Source organism: Homo sapiens, chromosome 10 (genome assembly GCF_000001405.40).
Source record: "Homo sapiens chromosome 10, GRCh38.p14 Primary Assembly".
Taxonomy (NCBI): domain Eukaryota; kingdom Metazoa; phylum Chordata; class Mammalia; order Primates; family Hominidae; genus Homo; species Homo sapiens.
In genome coordinates this window covers 1,036,527-1,057,243 of record NC_000010.11, presented here as the reverse complement: position 1 = coordinate 1,057,243, position 20,717 = coordinate 1,036,527, and the positions used below count along the sequence as shown (strand labels likewise).

Below are 20,717 nucleotides of genomic sequence, written 5' to 3'. Positions count from 1 at the left end.
CTGGCACCGCCACGGACTACTCCTGCGCCCCGACTTCTCTTGCACCCTGAACCCTTCTGCACCACGGCCCTTCCTGCACCGCCACGGGTCCTCCAGGGACCCGACCCCTCCTGCACCACCACGGACCCTCTGCATTCCAAGCCCACCTGCACCCCATCCGCCACTATGCCCCGACTGCCCCTGCACCCCCTTGAGCCCTGCAGTGTCCCGACTCCTCTTCGGGGCATCCGGGGAACGACTCGGCGCCTGACAGGTAGGAAGATGGCGGCACTCACCTGTCACAGCAGCTGCGCCCGCCACCCCCGGAGCCAGCCCAGGTCGCGCACCGCCAGTGAGTCCCTACGACGCGGCCCCCCGTACTGACCCGAAGACGCGCAGGACACCGCTGTCTCCGCACTGACGCGACCCCACAACCCCAACCTGGCGCTAATGCACTTCCGGTGTCGCCGGAAGTCCCGCCCCAGTCCCGCGCCGCTGGGTTCTCCGGAAGCCGCCCCACACCTCCGCCCCACACCCGGCGGCGCCGGAAGTCACGCCCCGGCTTCCGCCCCGCAGCCCCGAGGGGTCTGGGCGCGCTGAAGACCCCTTCGGCTGCTGGGCCAACGCCCCCACCCTTGGTCACGTACTCCTGCCGCCGAGCGGTTCGCGGGAGGTGGCCTCGGGGGTCGTAGCTACTCACCGGCGGGGCGCTCCGAGTCCATCTGCCCCGTAGCCCGGCAGCCGGGGCGGGAGGGCTGCGAGCCCGGGGCGCGGTCCGCCTGAGGCCTGAGACCCGGGGCCGCCTGCGCTCAGGGCCGCGGTGCCGGCCGCGCGGGAGCCTGGCGGGGACGGCGCGGTCAGTGTTCGGCTCCTCCGCAGTGACTCACCAGCGTCCTGAAGCTTTTGATCACCATTGGCTGGGAAGGAAAAACAGAATCAGCTGTTCCCTGCGAAAGGTGGGACTTGGGCCGCTTTTTTCTTAGAATCTAGGTTGGAAACGTCGCATGATGGTCTTTACGTAAACAGCCGTCTCAACGCTCTACAGAAAGCGCTAACCGCGCATTTGAAGCCCACCTAGAGTAAATCAAGAGCGTGAAAGCATTTTTTTTTTCTGTGTAGGTTAACATTCCTGCTCCTTCCTTTAAAAAGGAAGCTCAAGGCCAGGCGCGGTGGCTCACGCCTGTAATCCCAACACTTTGGGAGGCCGAGGCCGACGTATCACGAGATTAGGAGGTCGAGACCAGCCTGGCCAACATGGTGAAACCCTGTCTTTACTAAAAATACAAAAACTAGCCGGGCGTGGCGGCGCGCGCCTGTAACCCCTGCTACTCGGAAGGCTGAGGCAGGAGAATCGCTTGAACCCGGGAGGCGGAGGTTGCAGTGAGCCGAGATCGCGCCTCTGCACTCCAGCCTGGGACAGAGCGAGCCTCCGTCTCCAAAAAAAAATAAGGAAGCTCAAGATGAAGAGTCAGAAGTGGTAACTTGTTTGTTGCACAAGAAACAAATTTAGCATTCTATTTAGGGGATCCAGATTACCAAAAAAAAAAAAGAAGTGAAGTTATTTCTGCATTAAGTATATTAATAAAACTTTATCACTAAAAACAATTCTGTAAGAGGAACGCCAAGGAAAAAAATATTTGAGTTTTTAGAGAAGTCATTTTTTAAACTTTTAGAGGTTGTGACATTTAAGTAACATAATTTTATTTAGTACCTAGTATGCAAAGACATTGTACTGGGCATGGCAGCAAATAGAAAGCTTTGTAAATCGCAGTGTCCCATCTAATTAACCCGCATTCTAACAGGTGGTTTTATTTTTCTGGACCGCACCACAGTCAGGTAACACCAAGAATATCGCTAATGTAATTTTTTAAGTTGATATATTTAGGATTCCATAAAAGTCACTGAAAATAACTGAGAGCATGACATGTCACAAAACAAGGGAAAGAAATCATTTTGAGGATCAGTCGCTTTACATCTTTTGTAACTAATTTAATCCCCAAAGGAATCCAATAAAGTAAAAGTTATTCTAAATTGAATTTTAAGCATGAGAATGTGGAAATTACTCGTCAAAAGTCAAAAATAATCGTGCAGCAGGGCAAAGACTAAAGGCTGGCATCAGAATCCATATTCTTTTCACTGTTGATGTGCTAGGGCTGCAGGAACAAAATACTGCAAACTAGGCAGCTTAAACAAATTTATTGTCAGAGGTCTGACTGGAAGTCCCAAATCAAGGTATTGGCAGGGTTGATTCCTTCTGAGAGCTGTGATGGGAGCCTGTTAATGCATCTCAGCGTCTAGGCATTCCTTGGCTTGTGGCAGCATGCCCCCGCCAGTCTTCACATGACGTTTTCCATGTCCGTGTCTGTCTGCACACTTAGCGTTCTTTTTATGAGGACATCAGTCATATTGGAGTACAGTAGACGCTACTTTAATATGACCTCATGTTAACTAATCATATCCACAACAACCCTGTTTCCAAATAAGGTCACATTATAAAATACTGGAAGTGAGGTCTTTAACACATGAATTTGAAAGGGGGACACAATTTAACCCATAACACACTGTATCCTGAAATAACTATCCAATGTAATTTTTTTAAAAGACACAAAACTAGCCGAAATTATAAAAGGTTATGATTGCAATCCTGGTATCCAGTTACATTCTCCCTCCTGCAGAAGCTGTGGAGAATCCTGTCTCAGAAAACCAATTTCTATTTTGTCACATGTCCATCTATGCAAAATACATGTACTTTGTCCCTGACATAGGGCAACAATGCTGAATTTACTAAGACTCATTTTTGCGCATGGTTTGATAGGGAATTAAGATTTACTAGGTATTCTGTCATTGTCCTCATTACTGATTATTTTAACTGTGTCTCAAACACTTGGATAGTACACTATAGTGTTATAAGCTGTTTGACATGTCGCTTCCTAAATTCTCAAGTTATATATATGTGTGTATATATGTCATGTAACAGGCACAACTGTTTTCATGTGTATCACTTTATTGCACTTCACAGGTATCATATGTTTCTTACAAAGTGGAGGTTTGTGGCAGCCCTGCATGGAGCAAGTCTGTCAGCACCATCTTTCTAACAGTATGTGCTCACTTCATGTCTCTCTCACATTTTGGTAATTCTTGGAATGTTTCCGTTATTAAATCAGTTATAGTGATCTGTGATTAGTGATCTTTGATATTACTGTCATAATTGCTTGGGGGGCACCATGAACCACCCCTATATAAGACAGCAAACTGAGTCGATAAATGTTTTATGTGTTCTGACCACTGCACTGACCAGCTGCCTCCCTATCTCTCTCCTTCTGCTCAGACCTCCCTATCCTTGAGACACAGCAATACTGAAATTAGGGGCCAGGCATGGTGGTGGCTCATGCCTGTAGTCCCAGCTACTTGGGAGACTGAAGCAGGAGGATTGCTTGAGCCTAGGAGTTCGAGGCTGCAGTGAGCTGTGATCACGCCACTGCACTTCAGCATGGGCAGCAAAGCAAGACCCTGACTCAAAAAAAAAAAAAAATCAGGCAATTAATAGCCCTAAAATGGCTACTGTTTCATAAAAGAATGAGTTGCACATCTCTTACTTTAAATCAAAACTAGAAATGATTAATGATTAAGCATGGTGAGGAAGGCATGTTGAAACAGCTAAGTCGTGAATGCAAAGGAAAAGTTCTTGAAGGAAATTTGAAGTGCTCCTACAGTGAATACACAAATGGTAAGAAAATAAAACAGCTTTATTGCTGATATGGAGAAACTCTGAGTGGTCTGTATAGATTAAACCAGCCACAATATTCTGATAAAGCCTAATCCAGAGTAAGGCCCTAACTCTCTTCAGTTTTCTGAAGGCTGAGAGAGGTAAGGAAGCTACAGAAGAAAAATCTGAAGCTATCAGAGGTTGGTTCATGAGGTTGAAGGAAAGAAGCTGTCTCTATAATACAAAAGTGCAAGATAGGCCAGGCATGGTGGCTTATGCCTGTAATTCCAGCACTTTGGGAGGCCAATGCAAGTGGATCCCTTGAGGTGAGGAGTTCAAGACCAGCCTGGCCAACATGGTGAAACCCTGCCTCCACTAAAAATACAAAAATTAACTGGGTGTGGTGGCACACGCCTGTAGTCCCAGCTACTCAGGAGGCTAAGGCAGGAGGATCACTTGAACCCAGGAGTTGGAGGTTGCTGTAAGCCAAGATCACACCACCACACTCCTGGGTAACAGAGTGAGACTCCATCTCAAAAAAAAAAATGTGCAAGTGCAAGATAAAGCAGCAAGTCATCTAGGAGATCTACCTAAGATCACTGATGAAGACGGCTTTGCTAAACAATAGGTTTTCATTGGAGTTGAAACAACCTTATTTTGGGAAAAGATGCCGCCCAGGACTGTCATAACTAGAGAGGAGAAGTCAAAGCCTGGCTTCAGAGCTCCAAAGGACAGGCTGACCCTTGCTAGGGGGCTAGTGCAGCTGATGACTTTATGTTGAAGCCAGTGCTCATTTATCATTCTGAAAATCCTAGAGTCCTTAAGCGTTATGCTAATTCTAGTCTGCCTCTGCTGTGTAGATAGAACAACAAAGCCTAGATGACAGCACATCTACTTACACAGTGTGGTTTACTAAATATTGTCAGCCCACTGTTGTTGAGACCTACTGCTCAGGAAAAAAAAAAGATTTCGTTTCAAAATATTACTGCTGATTTACAGTGCTCCTGTTCACCCAAGAGCTCTGATGGAGATATACAAGGAGATTCATGTTGATTTCATGCCTGCTAACACAACATCCCTTTTGCAGCCCATAGCTCAAGAAGTCATTTTGACTTTCAAGTCTCATTATTTAAGAAATACATTTTGTAAGGCTATGGCTGCCCGAAGATGTAACTGAATCACTGCACTAGCATAATAAAACATGAATGGATAAGCAGTTGCTTCTTGTGGATGAACAAAGAAAGTGGTCTCTTGAGATGGAACCTAATCCTGGTGAAGATGTGAACACTGTTGAAATGATAACAAAGGATTCAGAATACTCCATAGACTTAGTTTATGAAGTAGCAGCAGGGTTTGAGAGGATTGACTCTAACTTTGGAAGTTTTCCTGGCCGGGTGCGGTGGCTCATGCCTATAATCCCAGCATTTTGAGAGGCCAAGGTGGGCAGATCACAAGGTCAGGAGTTCAAGACCAGCCTGGCCAACATGGTGAAACCCAAGCTCTACTAATAATACAAAAATTAGCCGGGCATGGTGGCACACGCCCATAGTGCCAGCTACTCATGAGGCTGAGGTAGGAGAATTGCTTGAACCCAGGAGGTGGAGGTTACAGTGAGCCAAGATCGCACCACTGCACTTCAGCCTGGGCGAAAGAACGAGACTCTGTCTCAAAAAAAAGTTTTCCTGTGGTTTAAAAAAAATCTTTCATGAAAAGAATTGTCAATCAACGTGACAAATTTCATTATTGTCTTATTTTAAGAAACTGCAACAGCCACCCCAACTTTCAAGCACCACCTTGATCAACAGCCATCAACATTGAGGCAAAACCCTCCACCAGCAAAAAGATTATGACTCATTGAAGGCTCAGCTGATGGTTAGCAGTAAAAAATATTAACTTTAATCATCTCGACCATTCAGTACTCATCTAATATTCTCTATAACAAAATGGGAAATGCACATAAAGCACTTCTGCTACATGCTGAATTATGATTGTTGTCTCCAGGAAAAGAACTTGTGGGAACGTTTGAGTTGTAAGCTGAACTAACTAGCTGCTTTTTTCATGAAATACCGCTTTTACTGGAAAGAACTGACAGATAAACTGAGGTATTCAAACCTAGATATTTGGCAGACATTTTCGTGAAAATAAATATGTTCGTGCCACTTCAAGGAACATAATTCTCAGTACTTGTTGCCAATAATGTTGGAATTTTCATGCAAAAATTCAAATAAAAAACAAACTTAAAACCATCAAGAACTTGGTGACTTTATGTGGAAGCCAGTGCTACAATACTTTAGCTTCCCAATACTTAAAAACTTTTCTGATGAGATTACTAGTGATATTAACAATGTGATTGATATTGAATAATGAAATGTTTTAGCATTTGGAAGATCTGTTTAATTCAGTAAATCAGTATTTTCCAAATGACCAATGCATGACATTTCAACATCACGCACAGGAAAATAGGCATTCGAGGTACAGTCAAAAATAATGAGTTTTAATGTAACAAGTACAAAATGTCCATTGAAGTGGTTTCAAATTCCAAATAGTAATTGGAAAATCCACCACTCGTGTTTTGGGGTAGTAGTATCGAAAAAGAATAACCAAGATAATTTGAAAAGGCTATTAAAAAATACTTCTCAATTTTCAAACTGCATACAGCAGGTGCTCATTCATTTCTTTGTAACATTGATGAGAAAAAGACTCCCAGCCAGGGGCACTGTCTTTGTGGTGTTTACGTGTTCTCGCCACACCTGCATAGGTTTTCTCTGGGTGCTGCAGTTCTTGCCACATCCCAGAGGTGTGCACGTGAGGTGAACTGGTGTGTCTTCACTGTCCCAGTCTGAGTGTGGGTGTGTGAGTGGCCCTGTGATGGAATGGCGTCCTGTCCAGGGCTGGTTCCCTCTTTGTGCCCTGAGCTACTGAAACAGGCTTCAGCTACACATGACCCAGAACTGGAATAATTAAGTAATAATTATCTTTTTATTCATCTTTCTTAAATGTATGTATAGCTCACATTTATTTCAATGTTTAATATTAGAATACTTTGGCCTTTAGAAGCTTAGTGATTTTTTTTTTCCTTGGCCAGAAGTATGCTTTAGGAACTTAATCCTTATTTTTTAGCCTCTGGTAAAATTGGTTTTGCTATACGTTGTTTCACTTAAAAGTCCTGATTCCCAAGAACGCACTGACAGCAGTGAGGACTTGCTGCGCATGCGGGAGGCCAGATTTTCTTATCTGTGTGAAGCCAGACATGAAAGAGATCTGTCAACACATAAAACAAAATCAAAGTCTGTTTTTTGTCTGGAAAAGATTTTTAATAAAAATATAACTTATGTTAGTGTCGTGTGTTTTTTAAGTGAATATTTTAATATGTTTAATTTCTATGTTAGTAAATAGCAGTAGTAAACAACAGTGAGCAAAAGCTTTTAGGTGTCCTCAGTACATTTTAAGAGAGTGCAAGCGTCCTGTGACCAAGAAGTTTGAGAACTGGTGCCCACCAGGTTCATCTCACAAGTTCAGTATTTTAAATTCCACACAAAAGGTAGAGGAAATAGCTGAATTCGCTTCAGCTGCGCATACATTTCACGATTATTTAAAAGTTTAGAGGGCTAGGCGCGGTGGCTCACACCCGGAATCTCAGCACTTCGGTAAGCTGAGCCAGGTGGATCACTTGAGGTCAGGAGTTCCAGACCAGCCTGACCAACATGCGGAAACCCGTCTCTACTAAAAATACGAAATAAGCCGGGCGTGGTGGCGCATGCCTGTAATTCCAGCTACTTGGGAGGCTGAGACGGGACAATTGCCTGAACCCGGGCGGCGGAGGTTGCTGTGAGCGGAGACTGCACCATTGCACTCAAGCCTGGGCAACAAGAATGAAACTGTCTCAAAAAAAAAAAATTTAGAACGTAGTCATGTACCTCGAAAGCGAACACTCCCAACATAGCGTGGAACACCCCACACCCCCGGCGACTTTGCTCCGCCTTGGTCCCGGTCGCAGACACCGCAGAAAGGCCATCGTTCTAGACATACGAGAACTCCCCGTGCAGCCAAACGCTGTAGTCCCAGCGGCGGAACTCGGGGGGGGGGAGGGGGGGGAGTGCCCAACCAGCCAGTCAGCAGTGACGTCCCGCCTTTCCTCCGTTTCCATTGGTCCAGCCATGCGGAGGTCGCTCCCATGGGACGCCGAGCTTCCGGCTGCAGGGCTTGGCGCCCGGGCGCTTTCGGATTGGGAGGGCTTCCTCCATGGAACGCGAGCCTCGAGACGTCTGACGTTAGGCACCGTTCGCAGCGCCTCGGGCTCGCACGGCAGGATCGAAAGCGTGATTGGCTGGCGGCGTCTGTGGTCTCGGGCACCGCCCAGTCGCGGGACGCTGCCTCTGCGGAACTGGGGGTGGGGCGTGTTGACCCCCTTAAAGGCGCCAGAGCCCGCGGTCACGGCTCAGGTTCCCGGTGCTTCGCGCGTCTGCCGTTGTCACAGGCCAGGGAGGTGGCACCACCAGGCGAAGCTTGGCGAGATTGTGTCGTCAAGCGCGTACGGGCGCCAATTGGCCGGGCGATGTGGCGTGGACTGGCGCTGGCGCGAGCGATTGGCTGCGCGGCCCGGGGGCGGGGCCAGTGGGCGGTGCGCGCCGCAGACTGTGCTCAAAGCGGGCGCCATCCGGGACCGGCGGTTGTCTGTGGCCGGAGGCTGATCAGGTACTGTGGACGGGCGGCGGAGTTCGGGAGACAGGGGCAGGGCGGCATCGGGGAGCTGCGGGACGGGGCGGGGAGGAGGCCCGAGGTCTGAGCCACCCGTGAGGTCTCGGCGCGGAGGCCTGGACAGCTGGGGGTGGCGGCGTTGGTCTCCCGAACTGGAGGGAGGCCGGGCCTTCCCGGGCTGTGGTGGGCGCCCGCGCCCCGTGGAAGGCGGAGGCGTGAGTCGGGGCGTCAGAGACGTTGCCATTCTTTGTCAGCGGAAAAGATCGTCGTCTGCGCACAGTCACCTGAGGTTTAGGAACTCGTGGAACTGGAAACCGAGTCGCAGGAGACTAAGAGTTGCGAGTCTCCCCTTAGAGAATTCAGAAACAAGCGTAGACAGCATCGTCAGAAACACGAGCGTGACGACACCGGCCTCCCCGTGCCGAGTCCACGCGTGTGACGCGGGTGCATACACCTGCGTCCGTGCAAGAGGGTGACAGCAACACACTCAAGGCGCTTCTCCTGGGAATGGAGCAGGAGAAGAGATGGGGAGCATCGCATAGATGGAACTAGACCTTTTTCTTGGGTTGGATGATGTGTTCCCGCGTCTACTACATGGTATTCTTTAAACGCATAAATAGACGTATTCATTTTATCTTGTGATTATGCAGCTTAGCTTTAAAATCTGAATTCTGAAAATCCTGAAAGAGCAATTGTCATTACAGCTGGGCGGTGGTGCACGCCTTTAATCCCAGCACTTTGGGAGGCGGAGTCGAAGGCTGCAGTGAGCCGAGATCGCGCCACTGCACTCCAGCTTGGGCGACAGACATAGCAAGACCCAGCCCCATCCCCCCGGAAAAAAAGTCATGTCAAAAAGTCTAGTAATTATGTAGTAACGAAACCTATCTTAGTGATCACCTAATATACAGTTGGCCTACTGTATCCTTGGGGTCCATATCCATGGATTTAACCAACTGCACATTATAAAATATTTGGAAAAAAATTTCATCTGTACTGAACATATACAGACTTATTCTGTAAACAATACAGCACAACTATTTATGTAGGATTTACATGTTTTAGATACTATAAGAGATCATCTACAGATGATAATTTAACGTTCGGCCCGCATCACTTAACAGGGATACTTTGGAGAAGTTCATTGTTAGGTACTTTCATCATTGTGGAAGCAGAGTGCGCTGACGCAGACCTAGACAGTGGAGCAGCTGGGCTGTGTGGTGTAGACAGACGGTGGAGCAGCTGGGCTGTGTGGTGTAGACAGTGGAGCAGCTGGGCTGTGTGGTGTAGACAAAGGACCAGACAGTGGAGCAGCTGGGCTGTGTGGTGTAGACAGTGGAGCAGCTGGGCTGTGTGGTGTAGACAGTAGACAGTGGAGCAGCTGGGCTGTGTGGTGTAGACAGTGGAGCAGCTGGGCTGTGTGGTGTAGACAGTGGAGCAGCTGGGCTGTGTGGTGTAGACAGTGGAGCAGCTGGGCTGTGTGGTGTAGACAGTGGAGCAGCTGGGCTGTGTGGTGTAGACAGTGGAGCAGCTGGGCTGTGTGGTGTAGACAGTGGAGCAGCTGGGCTGTGTGGTGTAGACAGTGGAGCAGCTGGGCTGTGTGGTGTAGACAGTGGAGCAGCTGGGCTGTGTGGTGTAGACAGTGGAGCAGCTGGGCTGTGTGGTGTAGACAGTGGAGCAGCTGGGCTGTGTGGTGTAGACAGTGGAGCAGCTGGGCTGTGTGGTGTAGACAGTGGAGCAGCTGGGCTGTGTGGTGTAGACAGTGGAGCAGCTGGGCTGTGTGGTGTAGACAGTGGAGCAGCTGGGCTGTGTGGTGTAGACAGTGGAGCAGCTGGGCTGTGTGGTGTAGACAGTGGAGCAGCTGGGCTGTGTGGTGTAGACAGTGGAGCAGCTGGGCTGTGTGGTGTAGACAGTGGAGCAGCTGGGCTGTGTGGTGTAGACAGTGGAGCAGCTGGGCTGTGTGGTGTAGACAGTGGAGCAGCTGGGCTGTGTGGTGTAGACAGACAGTGGAGCAGCTGGGCTGTGTGGTGTAGACAGTGGAGCAGCTGGGCTGTGTGGTGTAGACAGTGGAGCAGCTGGGCTGTGTGGTGTAGACAGTGGAGCAGCTGGGCTGTGTGGTGTAGACAGTGGAGCAGCTGGGCTGTGTGGTGTAGACAGTGGAGCAGCTGGGCTGTGTGGTGTAGACAGTGGAGCAGCTGGGCTGTGTGGTGTAGACAGTGGAGCAGCTGGGCTGTGTGGTGTAGACAGTGGAGCAGCTGGGCTGTGTGGTGTAGACAGTGGAGCAGCTGGGCTGTGTGGTGTAGACAGTGGAGCAGCTGGGCGGTGTGGTGTAGACAGTGGAGCAGCTGGGCTGTGTGGTGTAGACAGACAGTGGAGCAGCTGGGCTGTGTGGTGTAGCCAGTTGCTCTTAGGCTGTTTTTCCTGTTGCTTCAGGCCTAAATTTGGACAGTGTGTGACTGTGCTGAATAATGTGGGCAGTTGTAACACAACAGCAAGTATTTGTGTATCTAAACATAGAAAAGGTGATGTGTTGTGCTCCGATGTTACAATGGCTACAACATCATTAGCAATAGGAATATGTCAGTTCTGTTATAATTTTATGGAACCACTGTAGTATATGCAGTCTGTAGTGTACCGAAACACCATCATGTGACACATGTATGTACACAGTGGATATACACAGGTGATCTGCAAATATTATGCCATTTTATATCTGAAACTTCAGCATCCTCAAATTTTGGTAGCTGTGGGAGGTCCTGGAACTAACTCCCATATATACCAAAGGATGACTGTATATAAAACTAGCCTATAGAAGTTGGAAATCTTTCTAAAATTGAGGCTAACTCTGAAGTTGACTTCCTTTTCACATTATTTTCCCTCTTGATTTGTTTTAATCATTAACCTTATTTCAGATTTTTTGTATTAGATATCAATATCTCCATCATCACTGACTCCTGACACACGCATTCACACACACACACACACACACACACACACCCAGACCCTATGTGGGTCTAGAACTTTGTATTAAGTAGCTGTTTAAACACTTTGTGTACATTCTGCAGTATGCTTGAACTCTGTTGAAAGTATTTCAGTGGTCCCCGTGTGGTGGCTCACTCCTGTAATCTCAACACTTTGGGAGGCCAAAGCAGGCAGATCTCCTGAGGTTAGGAGTTCGAGATCAGCATGGCCAGCATGGCAAGACTTCGTCTCTACTAAAAATACAAAAATTAGCCTGGCGTGGTGGTGCACGCCTGTAGTCCCAGCTACTTGGGAGGTCAAAGCAGGAGAATCACTTGAACCCAGGAGGTGGGGGTTGTAGTGAGCTGAGATTGCACCATTGCATTCCAGCCTGGGCAACAAAACGAGACTCCCTCTCAGAAACAAAAAAGTATTTCAGTAAAATCTATGTATTTGAAATAGAGTCACATAGAAAGTAGAGCACATGGGATCTTCAAAATATATTGGGTAGAAAAATCAGAAAACAAAAATTATTATTCATTCAGAAATAAAGGAGAAGAAAAAAGGGAATAAAAAACTTCAAGGTCAGACTATGTAAAGGTGCCCTGAAGGATACAAAGATTAGAAAGCTTAGACGCTGCTGGATACAGATATGTAAAAGTGTGAGTCAGAATACTGAAAGTACCCTAATAAGTGCTTTACGTTGTAATCACATGGGAGGGATAAATGGGGGTTCAGAAAATTAATGTTTGATGCACTAAGGTAGGAATGGGCCAACTATGGCCTATAGGCCAAATCTGGCCTGCTGCCTGTTGTTACGTCCTGTGAGCTGAGTGTTTTTCTCATATTTAAACGGATGGAGAAGAATCAAAATATTTTGTGACACATGAAAATTAAATGTAATTCAGTGTCCATAAATATTGGCATGCACCCACACTCAGTTTACATACTGCCCAGTTCACCTATTGCCTGTGACTATTTTAGTGTTACAGAGGCAGAGTTCATACTCTCTGGCCCTTCACAGAAAAAACTTGCCAAGCACTGCCTTAAAGCATCTATTGAATATAACGAATTAAGTCTTCTCCTGTTTATCTAGAATGATATCAGCTAAGTACTGTCCTGGGGGAAATTGACAAAACTCATACAAATAATTTTTCTGATAACCCAGGAGCTTGGGTTGAGAAAAACTGGATTAAGTCTTACTGTGACATTGGTAGAAAGGTTATTGAATGTCTGGCACGAGTTGTGCCTTGAAAAAATGGATTTCAACCAAGATTGGCCTGTGGCAATCTTGAGCAACTATGCAGAGACAGGCAGTGGGAAAAACAATTCAGGATGGCAATGGGAGCACATTCTAGAGATTACAGAAGCTGGTGTAGAAAAGCAGGATGAAAAGTTAGGTTGGGGCCAAAAACCAGAGAAGAAAAGTACACTGGAAAAAGGATTGAGTATCAAGTGCTGCAGAGGATCTCAGAGGTCAAGAATTTAGAGCGGAACGTTGAGCTTGGCCTTCAGGAGCATGACTGTGATAAAAGGCCAGCTGTGAAACCTGTAGGAGAAATGATGACCCAGATAGTGCTGAGCAGCCGGCTGGCAGCGTTCTTGGGGTCCCTGTGGGGATGCAGAGTGGTACAACTGCAGATGGGGAAGCAGCATCATTATTAACCTGTGTTTATATGACATTCAGAAAAATATATGATGGCCTTTCTTTCTCTTTTCCTTTAATATTAGTGTTCTAGAACAGATCAGACATTTTGTAATGATGCCTGAAATAAACACTAACCACCTCGACAAGCAACAGGTTCAACTCCTGGCAGAGATGTGTATCCTTATTGATGAAAATGACAATAAAATTGGAGCTGAGACCAAGAAGAATTGTCACCTGAACGAGAACATTGAGAAAGGTGCTGCTTTGAAACAGTCTTTCTTGTAAAGCGATTTGTGTAGGCATTTCCGATTTGCTGAGAAGAGCACTCTGTTCAAGGAAGTGCAGTCTTCAGTAATACCGTATTTTCTCGTTGGTTCCAGTTCGTTAAATAGTGTGGTCATTAGCATCTGCTTTGCTGTCTTCCTGTTACAGCGATTTCTCTTCACTTCATGCCTGTTACTCGGCTTCTTCAGAGTTATTCTGGATTCATAGAAGAGGGACTAGCCCTGACATACAGCAGCAGCCTAGCCTCTAATATTTCTAGAGAGTGGAGAGAGGCGGGCACCATGCAGGGAAGCATGTGCCTTCACCACTTTCCGAGAACTGAATGTCCTTGATAGGGAACTTGACTGCCGGAAAGGGGCCACCAGCATCACCATTTCCTTCACTCGACGGCCAACTTCCTTGCCCAGTGCAGAGCTCTTCCTCACCATAGCCATGCAGAGACTATGCATGTGGATAAACCATGGGAAAAAGCAAAAGCAGCAGCAAGTTACTAATGTTATTCTGAACTGCAGGGAGAGAATTTGGCAAATAACTGGTACTTAAGGCTAAAATAATTGTTATTTCTTTTGCTTTCAGGATTATTGCATCGAGCTTTTAGTGTCTTCTTATTCAACACCGAAAATAAGCTTCTGCTACAGCAAAGATCAGATGCTAAGATTACCTTTCCAGGTTAGTACACTTTTAATGTACAATATTGTGTTTGTACATTAATTTGACTTTTTATCATTCTGAATTCTTGGAGCCAAGGTCACAAAGGGAAATCCTGTGAATGGCATAATTTTATATTCTGCATAAAGTGAGTTTACACAATGAGTGCAACCTAATACAACAGCAAGAAAAAATAAGAACTAGTAAGCAATTGGGCAATATGTATAATTTACATATTTATCTTTAATCTGTATTATCTACACTTTGATCTTTTTTGGTTAAAGAAGTATTAATAAGGAACCTACCTACAAATGTAGTCTGTTTCACAACATAATTACTGATAGCCCATTATAACCAATTTTAAAATCCTTAAAATAATTACTGATAGCCCATTATAACCAATTTTAAAATCCTTAAAATAATTACTGATAGCCCATTATAACTGATTTTAAAATCCTTAAAAATCATTTCATTTTTCAGTTACTTATAAAACTTTTTCTTGATCTTTCAGACCTACTTTGAAGAAAAGTTGATCTGTCTCTGTATTACCATTTTCCAGGTTGTTTTACGAATACGTGTTGTAGTCATCCATTAAGCAATCCAGCCGAGCTTGAGGAAAGTGACGCCCTTGGAGTGAGGCGAGCAGCACAGAGACGGCTGAAAGCTGAGCTAGGAATTCCCTTGGAAGAGGTAACCAGCTCTCCTACACAACCATACAAGCTGAAACCTAAACATACTATAAAAAGGTTTTTAATAAAATTTTTAAATTCAAATGTAGTTCTCTGCTTGGTAACCTCCGGAGTTATGAGTTAGCCCCACAAACCATCTTGAATAAAGATTATTTAAATTTTAATTTCTTAATATCACTTGTCAAAACTTAGCTCAATACGGGGATGGATTGATCTGTTAAGCACTATATAAGGTTGAATATTTCTATAATTGATCAAATCTAAGATGAGTATTTTCAAGTGTTACAGCTCTTGTAGAATTTAACTGACAGGTTTTCCAGTTCTCACCTAAAACTCCCCACCTACAAAAAAGGTGAAGATTTTCTGATGGAAACTCTTAGGAATATGAACCATAAATCTCATTGGTTTAATTGAAATCATTTTTTTTCTTGGAATTGTCCCCCTTAAATAAGACCTGGATAAATAAAGTATTTCTTATCTATATTTTCCAAAAAGCAATTTTAAAATATGAAAAAGAAAAATGTCGGGCCGGTCGTGGTGGCTCACGCCTGTAATCCCAGCACTTTGGGAGGCTGAGGCAGGTGGATCACGAGGTCAGGAGTTCGAGACCAGCCTGACCAACATGGTGAAACTCCGTCTCTACTAAAAATACAAAAACTAGCTGGGCATGGTGGGGCGGCACGTCTGTAATCCCAGCTACTCAGGAGGCTGAGGCAGGAGAATCGCTTGAACCTGGGAGGCGGAGGTTGCAGTGAGCTGAGATCACACCATTGCACTCCAGCTTGGGTGACAGCAAGACTCCGTCTCACAAAAAAAAAAAAAAGAAGAAAAAGAAGAATGTCACATTTCTAGTTTGAGTGACTGCCCCTTTTTTTAACATTAAAAAAAAAAAAACTTATCTGATCGGGAAAAAAACGCAAACACTTGAAACTAATGATGTAATCATTTTTCCATATATAATATTAAGATTTCCATATACCATTGATAGGAGATTAATGCTTTAACCAAGTTCTAATCCTAAAACTATACTGCTGTTCGAGATATCGCTGTAATACAGTGAGCTAATTTTAGATTTTTTTTGTTACGGTGGCCGATGTTTTAATTACTTTTTTTTTTTTAATGTCTTAGGTTCCTCCAGAAGAAATTAATTATTTAACACGAATTCACTACAAAGCTCAGTCTGATGGTATCTGGGGTGAACATGAAATTGATTACATTTTGTTGGTGAGGAAGAATGTAACTTTGAATCCAGATCCCAATGAGATTAAAAGCTATTGTTATGTGTCAAAGGAAGAACTAAAAGAACTTCTGAAAAAAGCAGCCAGTGGTGAAATTAAGATAACGCCATGGTTTAAAATTATTGCAGCGACTTTTCTCTTTAAATGGTGGGATAACTTAAATCATTTGAATCAGTTTGTTGACCATGAGAAAATATACAGAATGTGAATATGTAGGTAAATGATTACAGAAAAATTTATCTGCTTAACAAACTTAGAATGACTTTTTCCTTTTAAATTTAGTTCTATCATTAATTTATCATTAAATTTAGTTCTATCATTTGGTACTATCATTAATGTATTATATACACTGATACTTTAAAACTTGTGTGGAAAAAACTAACTTATAATTTTGTATCACACACCCTGGATATGTGTTCTGTTTCTAAGCGACATTTGTGAGAGATTATTGTAAAATGAGAGCGAGCAAATAAAACTTAATTTAATCTTTGCAGATACATACTTATGGGAAATTTGAACAAATGAGTGAAACTCTGTTTTTAGTAGGCTGTGATAAACATTTCCGGAGCACTTGCAGAGGACTTGCTATTTGCCAGGTGCTTTATGTATCATTAAATTTTTCTCATAGTTCAGAAAAATGTGCAAAGGAAACTATTGTCTCGCTCCTTCAAAACAGTCTTAATTAACTTTCATATTAGCAGATTAAACTAGCAGAGCAGGTTCAAGGGAAATTAAATGATATGGACCCTAATTTGTATCATTCTGAGTTGATTGTGTGGTTTATTCATTCTGGAAACATGTTGATACTTACAGTCAGCCACTGCTTTTGATAAGTGATATTGATTAGGTTGAATCTTCTTGTAAATAGTATTTACCAGTTAGCAAAGTCTGTGTTTTCAGAATTACAGTGAGCACAGAGGTGTTCATAAAATGGGAATTGAGTCCCACTCGGTAAGAGTTGCTTAAACTTGACACTGTTGACATTTGGGCTGGATAAAACCCCTGTGGTGGGGTCTGTGCTGTGCATTGCAGGATGGTGAGCAGCGTCCCTCTCATGTGACACCCACAGTTATGCCGGATGTTGCCAGATGCCCCTAGGGGACAGAGTCAACCCCCAACTGAGGACCACTGTCCTACAGAGTCAGGAAATATTGTAGGGAGAAAAAAATAACAACAACAAAGGCCTGTGTTAATGTTAAATAGATGAGATTATGGAATGTGTATATTAATGTTAAAAATTGTACCTTGATCAATGTACTTTTTATAAACTTGCCATAGATATCTCAGATTTGAAACCTCAAGACAGATTTATTATTCTTAAATGCTGTATGATAATGAAGAAAAATAAAAATTTATTTCTTGCAAAGTTAAATGTTTGTTAAATTCAATAGAATGACTCATTTATGGTTAACTTTGGGCAATTTATAATTTCAGACAAGACTGTTTAGCAAGTATTTTATTGAAAAGTAAAAAAAATTGCAATTTAATACTGTGTTTAGTTTGTTAAAATTTTGATACACTAATAGGATATTGCCTGTATAGTTTCCGTTGCATTTATAATATTGTTTCTAATTTTTTTAGTTTTATTTTCTAGGAAGTTTTAGGCTGAAAGCCACATATAATTAGTTATGTGATAACTATGAGTTGCCATGGCTACTGAATTGGACATGGGACCCTTAGACTGCTACCCAGCACCTTGTTAAGTACTTAGCAAGAGTTAGATACTACTGTTGTAATATTACTAGGATGCCATCCAGAAAATGTAAGGAATGTCTTTTGACCTGATAAACTCCTTAGAACTCCTTCATCTTTTATAAAGAGGAGTATCCCTCTCCTAGATATAGCTGCTTCTGACCCCAAAGGCAGATGTGTTGGTTTTCAACTAGAAAGCTAAATGGTACCTATAAATTTTTTTTTTCTTAAACTGTTTTAAACTCTTAATCTTCAAAATATATACTTCTTTGATTCTGGTCAAACCATTGCCAACTCCTTTAAGGACAAAGTAGAGGTGGCCTTCTAATAATTGCTGATTCTGTTTCCCTACCTATATTATCAAGAGAACAAGACCAAAACAGAAAATGGTATAATAGGAAGGAAGGCACATTTTCTTCTTACTTGGCCCTGGCACCTGGGGACAAGTCCAGGTCGTACCCGCAGTGCATCCCTGTGGGAACTGCCCTCCACCTGCTCCCTGGGGACACGTCCAGGTCGTACCCGCAGTGCGTCCCTGTGGGAACTGCCCTCCACCTGCTCCCTGGGGACAAGTCCAGGTCGTACCCGCAGTGCGTCCCTGTGGGAACTGCCCTCCACCTGCTCCCTGGGGACAAGTCCAGGTCGTACCCGCAGTGCGTCCCTGTGGGAACTGCCCTCCACCTGCTCCCTGGGGACAAGTCCAGGTCGTACCCGCAGTGCGTCCCTGTGGGACCTGCCCTCCACCTGCTCCATGGGGACAAGTCCAGGTCGTACCCGCAGTGCGTCCCTGTGGGAACTGCCCTCCACCTGCTCCCTGGGGACACGTCCAGGTCGTACCCGCAGTGCGTCCCTGTGGGAACTGCCCTCCACCTGCTCCCTGGGGACACGTCCAGGTCGTACCCGCAGTGCGTCCCTGTGGGAACTGCCCTCCACCTGCTCCCTGGGGACACGTCCAGGTCGTACCCGCAGTGCGTCCCTGTGGGAACTGCCCTCCACCTGCTCCCTGGGGACAAGCCCAGGTTGTACCCGAAGTGGGTCCCTGTGGGAACTGCCCTCCACCTGCCCCTTAGGGGGTGCTTGTGCAGTGGTTTCATCCTCTCACTTGGATCTGTCCGTTGGACCCTCACTAGGGTTGGGAGTTCCTCATGGGATGAGGTACTCTAGATCCCCTCTTGACAGATTTTCTTTTTATTATTTCAGATACACCTCTTCTTCACCCTTCCTCTCTGGGTGCTTTTTCAGCCCTAAGTATGTACTTACACATTTTATAACATTTTATAGCATGAACTGAAGTGTGTATTTGTGTGTATTCAGGTATCCTGACAGCTTTCTGCTTTACAATTTTCACACATTATACTTATTTACCATACATGGTTTAGACTCCCAAACGTAAATCTCCAACACCGCATTCTCTCCTCTATTTTATATGCATATAGGTGAATGCATAAGTAAACTGATATATCCAGACAGTAGGATGTTATTTGGCACTAAAAAGAAATGAGCTATCAAGCCACAAAGACAGGGAGGAAAGTTAGGTGCATGTTGCTGAAAGAAGCATGAAAGGCTACATCCTGAAGGAGTCCAGTTCTCCAACATTCCAGTAAAGGAAAACTGGAAACAGTAAAAAGCCAGGGGTGACGGGAGGGAGGAATGAGTGGGCAGGGCACAGGATTTTTAGGGCAGTGAAACTCTTCTGCATGGTACTGAATTGGTGGATATAGGTCATTATGCATTTGTCCAACACCAAGAGCAAGCCTCATGTAAACTGGACTCCAGGTGATAATGATGTGTTGACGTACGTCTATCGGCTGTAACAAATGGACCACTCCGATGAGGATGTAGATAGTGGGGGAGTCTGTGTGTGTGGAGGGGCTGGGGGTTTATGGAAACTGTCTACCTTCCACCCAATTTTGCTGTGAACCTGAACTGGTCGAAAGAATAAAGTCTATTAAAATTTGGGTGTTAAACATGAAAAGAAGCTTAACCTCATTAATCACAGGGTAGGTGCAAATTGAAACCCGAATTTAAAAGACCAACATCACCAAGTGTTGACGGAATATAAAGTAACTGCTTCTGAGCATGCCTGCTACCATGAAGCTGTTGGCCACTATCTACTAAAGTCAAACGAGTCAGACCTGGCAGGAGACAAATGTGCGTGGTTCTGCCTTCTTTTGTTGCCATTTTACTAACTAAGCAGCGAACGAATGCAGCATATTCTTGGGCTGGGAAGTCACTGACATATTCGTTGTTACTTTGAGAAACAAGGTGTTTCCCAGATTTTTATGCACTGCCCTATAAGTAGGTGATACAGTGTGGGTTCAGGGCTTGCCTCGCTCACGCTCACGGAGCTCTTTGCTACATGTCCAGTCTCTATCCCAGGGACGCCCCTGCAGAACATCTGCAGTGGTTACATCAGCCTTGGTGTCTGCACAATCGGATGCTGCCATGCCGCGGGAGCAGTCCTGCTATACACAGCAGTGTGAGTAAATCCACAGACCCAATCTTGAGTGGAAGAAGCCGGATACAAAAGGCATACGTGATTCCAGTGAAATAAAGGTCAAAAACAGGCGAAACCAATTAAGATGTAGGCAAGAATAGAAGCTACTTCCAGGGGGCGCAGGGAGCCTTGTGATTTTCGAAGTGTTCTCTATGTTGATAGGGTGTTAATTACATGGGTGAATATGTTAGGATTGATTGAAACAATTTGTGCACTTTTAAGTGACAGCTTAACACAATATAGAATCCGTGAGCTCTAGAGAACAGAGCTCAGCACTGATAGAGAATCAGTGGAGAGCAAGTGGCATCTCACCTTGACAGGAGTGGAAGTGCAGGTACTTCTGGCCACTGCATCTTGGTATCAGATTGGCCAGGAAAAGCCATGAAGACACGCCCTGCGTGGGTTGGGGCTCCACTCCTGAGAGAAGAAAGAAAGGTCAGCTCCCACGGTGTACGTCGGGTCCCCATGCCCGTGGGCCCCTGCAGGCAGCTGACACGGCGTTGGTTGACATGACACACTTATGCTGTAGGAAAAGAACTCTGTCCCCACCCCCACCCCACGGGGGACAGATGCCGCAGTGGGGTTGGTCACGTGCTGCTCAATCACATGCCCTGACGCAGATTAAAAGGAACACACAGAGTCTGAAGAGGAAAGGTGTTCCCACGCCAGGTGACAAGCC

General features: G+C 45.1%; 2 protein-coding genes and 1 long non-coding RNA gene across 15 annotated transcripts in view, besides 14 other annotated features; 1 reads left to right on the top strand and 2 right to left on the bottom strand.

Annotated features, from left to right (window-relative positions):
* The window catches only part of WDR37 (WD repeat domain 37), a 75,988-nt gene extending 75,129 nt beyond the window's left edge, over window positions 1–859 (bottom strand). Inside the window, exon 1 of the mRNA NM_014023.4 lies at window positions 276–859. The gene's annotated coding sequence lies outside the window, so the exon portion shown is untranslated. The remainder of the gene's footprint in view (window positions 1–275) is intronic.
* Window positions 142–201: an enhancer, noted in NCBI's record as "active region_2899". NCBI's record gives its function as "activates an Ori minimal core promoter by ATAC-STARR-seq in GM12878 lymphoblastoid cells {active_cell/tissue: GM12878}" and the evidence as "EXISTENCE:reporter gene assay evidence [ECO:0000049][PMID:35858748]".
* Window positions 302–361: an enhancer, noted in NCBI's record as "active region_2898". NCBI's record gives its function as "activates an Ori minimal core promoter by ATAC-STARR-seq in GM12878 lymphoblastoid cells {active_cell/tissue: GM12878}" and the evidence as "EXISTENCE:reporter gene assay evidence [ECO:0000049][PMID:35858748]".
* Window positions 462–891: a silencer, noted in NCBI's record as "silent region_2067". NCBI's record gives its function as "represses an Ori minimal core promoter by ATAC-STARR-seq in GM12878 lymphoblastoid cells {active_cell/tissue: GM12878}" and the evidence as "EXISTENCE:reporter gene assay evidence [ECO:0000049][PMID:35858748]".
* Window positions 540–18,092, top strand: IDI1 (isopentenyl-diphosphate delta isomerase 1). 10 transcript variants are annotated; one of them, NM_001317955.2, is made up of 6 exons: window positions 540–935; window positions 2,999–3,076; window positions 13,073–13,245; window positions 13,851–13,943; window positions 14,482–14,612; window positions 15,740–18,092. In NM_001317955.2, the coding sequence occupies exons 3-6, from the start codon at window positions 13,101–13,103 to the stop codon at window positions 16,055–16,057; spliced, it is 687 nt and encodes a 228-aa protein (NP_001304884.1). In that variant the 5' UTR covers window positions 540–935; window positions 2,999–3,076; window positions 13,073–13,100; the 3' UTR covers window positions 16,058–18,092. The 10 variants fall into 10 exon arrangements, 8 of the variants coding, with proteins under 8 accessions (NP_001304884.1, XP_047281132.1, XP_024303747.1 ...); XM_047425176.1 differs by lacking the exon at window positions 2,999–3,076; XM_024447979.2 differs by lacking the exon at window positions 13,073–13,245.
* Window positions 1,162–1,211: an enhancer, noted in NCBI's record as "active region_2897". NCBI's record gives its function as "activates an Ori minimal core promoter by ATAC-STARR-seq in GM12878 lymphoblastoid cells {active_cell/tissue: GM12878}" and the evidence as "EXISTENCE:reporter gene assay evidence [ECO:0000049][PMID:35858748]".
* Window positions 1,322–1,381: a silencer, noted in NCBI's record as "silent region_2066". NCBI's record gives its function as "represses an Ori minimal core promoter by ATAC-STARR-seq in GM12878 lymphoblastoid cells {active_cell/tissue: GM12878}" and the evidence as "EXISTENCE:reporter gene assay evidence [ECO:0000049][PMID:35858748]".
* Window positions 7,288–7,817: an enhancer, noted in NCBI's record as "NANOG-H3K27ac-H3K4me1 hESC enhancer chr10:1095367-1095896 (GRCh37/hg19 assembly coordinates)". NCBI's record gives its function as "activates a minimal SCP1, AML or CMV promoter by ChIP-STARR-seq in naive H9 embryonic stem cells {active_cell/tissue: H9 hESC(naive)}" and the evidence as "EXISTENCE:reporter gene assay evidence [ECO:0000049][PMID:30033119]".
* Window positions 7,477–7,616: an enhancer, noted in NCBI's record as "active region_2896". NCBI's record gives its function as "activates an Ori minimal core promoter by ATAC-STARR-seq in GM12878 lymphoblastoid cells {active_cell/tissue: GM12878}" and the evidence as "EXISTENCE:reporter gene assay evidence [ECO:0000049][PMID:35858748]".
* Window positions 7,818–8,347: an enhancer, noted in NCBI's record as "NANOG-H3K27ac-H3K4me1 hESC enhancer chr10:1094837-1095366 (GRCh37/hg19 assembly coordinates)". NCBI's record gives its function as "activates a minimal SCP1, AML or CMV promoter by ChIP-STARR-seq in naive and primed H9 embryonic stem cells {active_cell/tissue: H9 hESC(naive and primed)}" and the evidence as "EXISTENCE:reporter gene assay evidence [ECO:0000049][PMID:30033119]".
* Window positions 7,818–8,878: a biological region, named in NCBI's record as "NANOG-H3K27ac-H3K4me1 hESC enhancers GRCh37_chr10:1094306-1094836 and GRCh37_chr10:1094837-1095366".
* Window positions 8,077–8,126: an enhancer, noted in NCBI's record as "active region_2895". NCBI's record gives its function as "activates an Ori minimal core promoter by ATAC-STARR-seq in GM12878 lymphoblastoid cells {active_cell/tissue: GM12878}" and the evidence as "EXISTENCE:reporter gene assay evidence [ECO:0000049][PMID:35858748]".
* Window positions 8,217–8,436: a silencer, noted in NCBI's record as "silent region_2065". NCBI's record gives its function as "represses an Ori minimal core promoter by ATAC-STARR-seq in GM12878 lymphoblastoid cells {active_cell/tissue: GM12878}" and the evidence as "EXISTENCE:reporter gene assay evidence [ECO:0000049][PMID:35858748]".
* Window positions 8,348–8,878: an enhancer, noted in NCBI's record as "NANOG-H3K27ac-H3K4me1 hESC enhancer chr10:1094306-1094836 (GRCh37/hg19 assembly coordinates)". NCBI's record gives its function as "activates a minimal SCP1, AML or CMV promoter by ChIP-STARR-seq in primed H9 embryonic stem cells {active_cell/tissue: H9 hESC(primed)}" and the evidence as "EXISTENCE:reporter gene assay evidence [ECO:0000049][PMID:30033119]".
* Window positions 8,447–8,536: a silencer, noted in NCBI's record as "silent region_2064". NCBI's record gives its function as "represses an Ori minimal core promoter by ATAC-STARR-seq in GM12878 lymphoblastoid cells {active_cell/tissue: GM12878}" and the evidence as "EXISTENCE:reporter gene assay evidence [ECO:0000049][PMID:35858748]".
* Window positions 13,024–14,223: an enhancer, noted in NCBI's record as "BRD4-independent group 4 enhancer chr10:1088961-1090160 (GRCh37/hg19 assembly coordinates)". NCBI's record gives its function as "activates an origin of replication core promoter dependent on BRD2, P300/CBP, MED14 and CDK7 cofactors, and independent of BRD4, by STARR-seq in HCT116 cells {active_cell/tissue: HCT116}" and the evidence as "EXISTENCE:reporter gene assay evidence [ECO:0000049][PMID:35650434]".
* IDI2-AS1 (IDI2 antisense RNA 1) overlaps window positions 13,043–20,717 on the bottom strand; it is a 21,565-nt gene continuing 13,890 nt past the window's right edge. For all 4 annotated transcript variants that reach the window (NR_027709.1, NR_027708.1, NR_024628.1 and 1 more), the window contains 2 exons: window positions 20,351–20,455; window positions 13,043–13,715 (listed from right to left, as the gene is read on the bottom strand). This is a non-coding gene — a long non-coding RNA (IDI2 antisense RNA 1). The remainder of the gene's footprint in view (window positions 13,716–20,350; window positions 20,456–20,717) is intronic.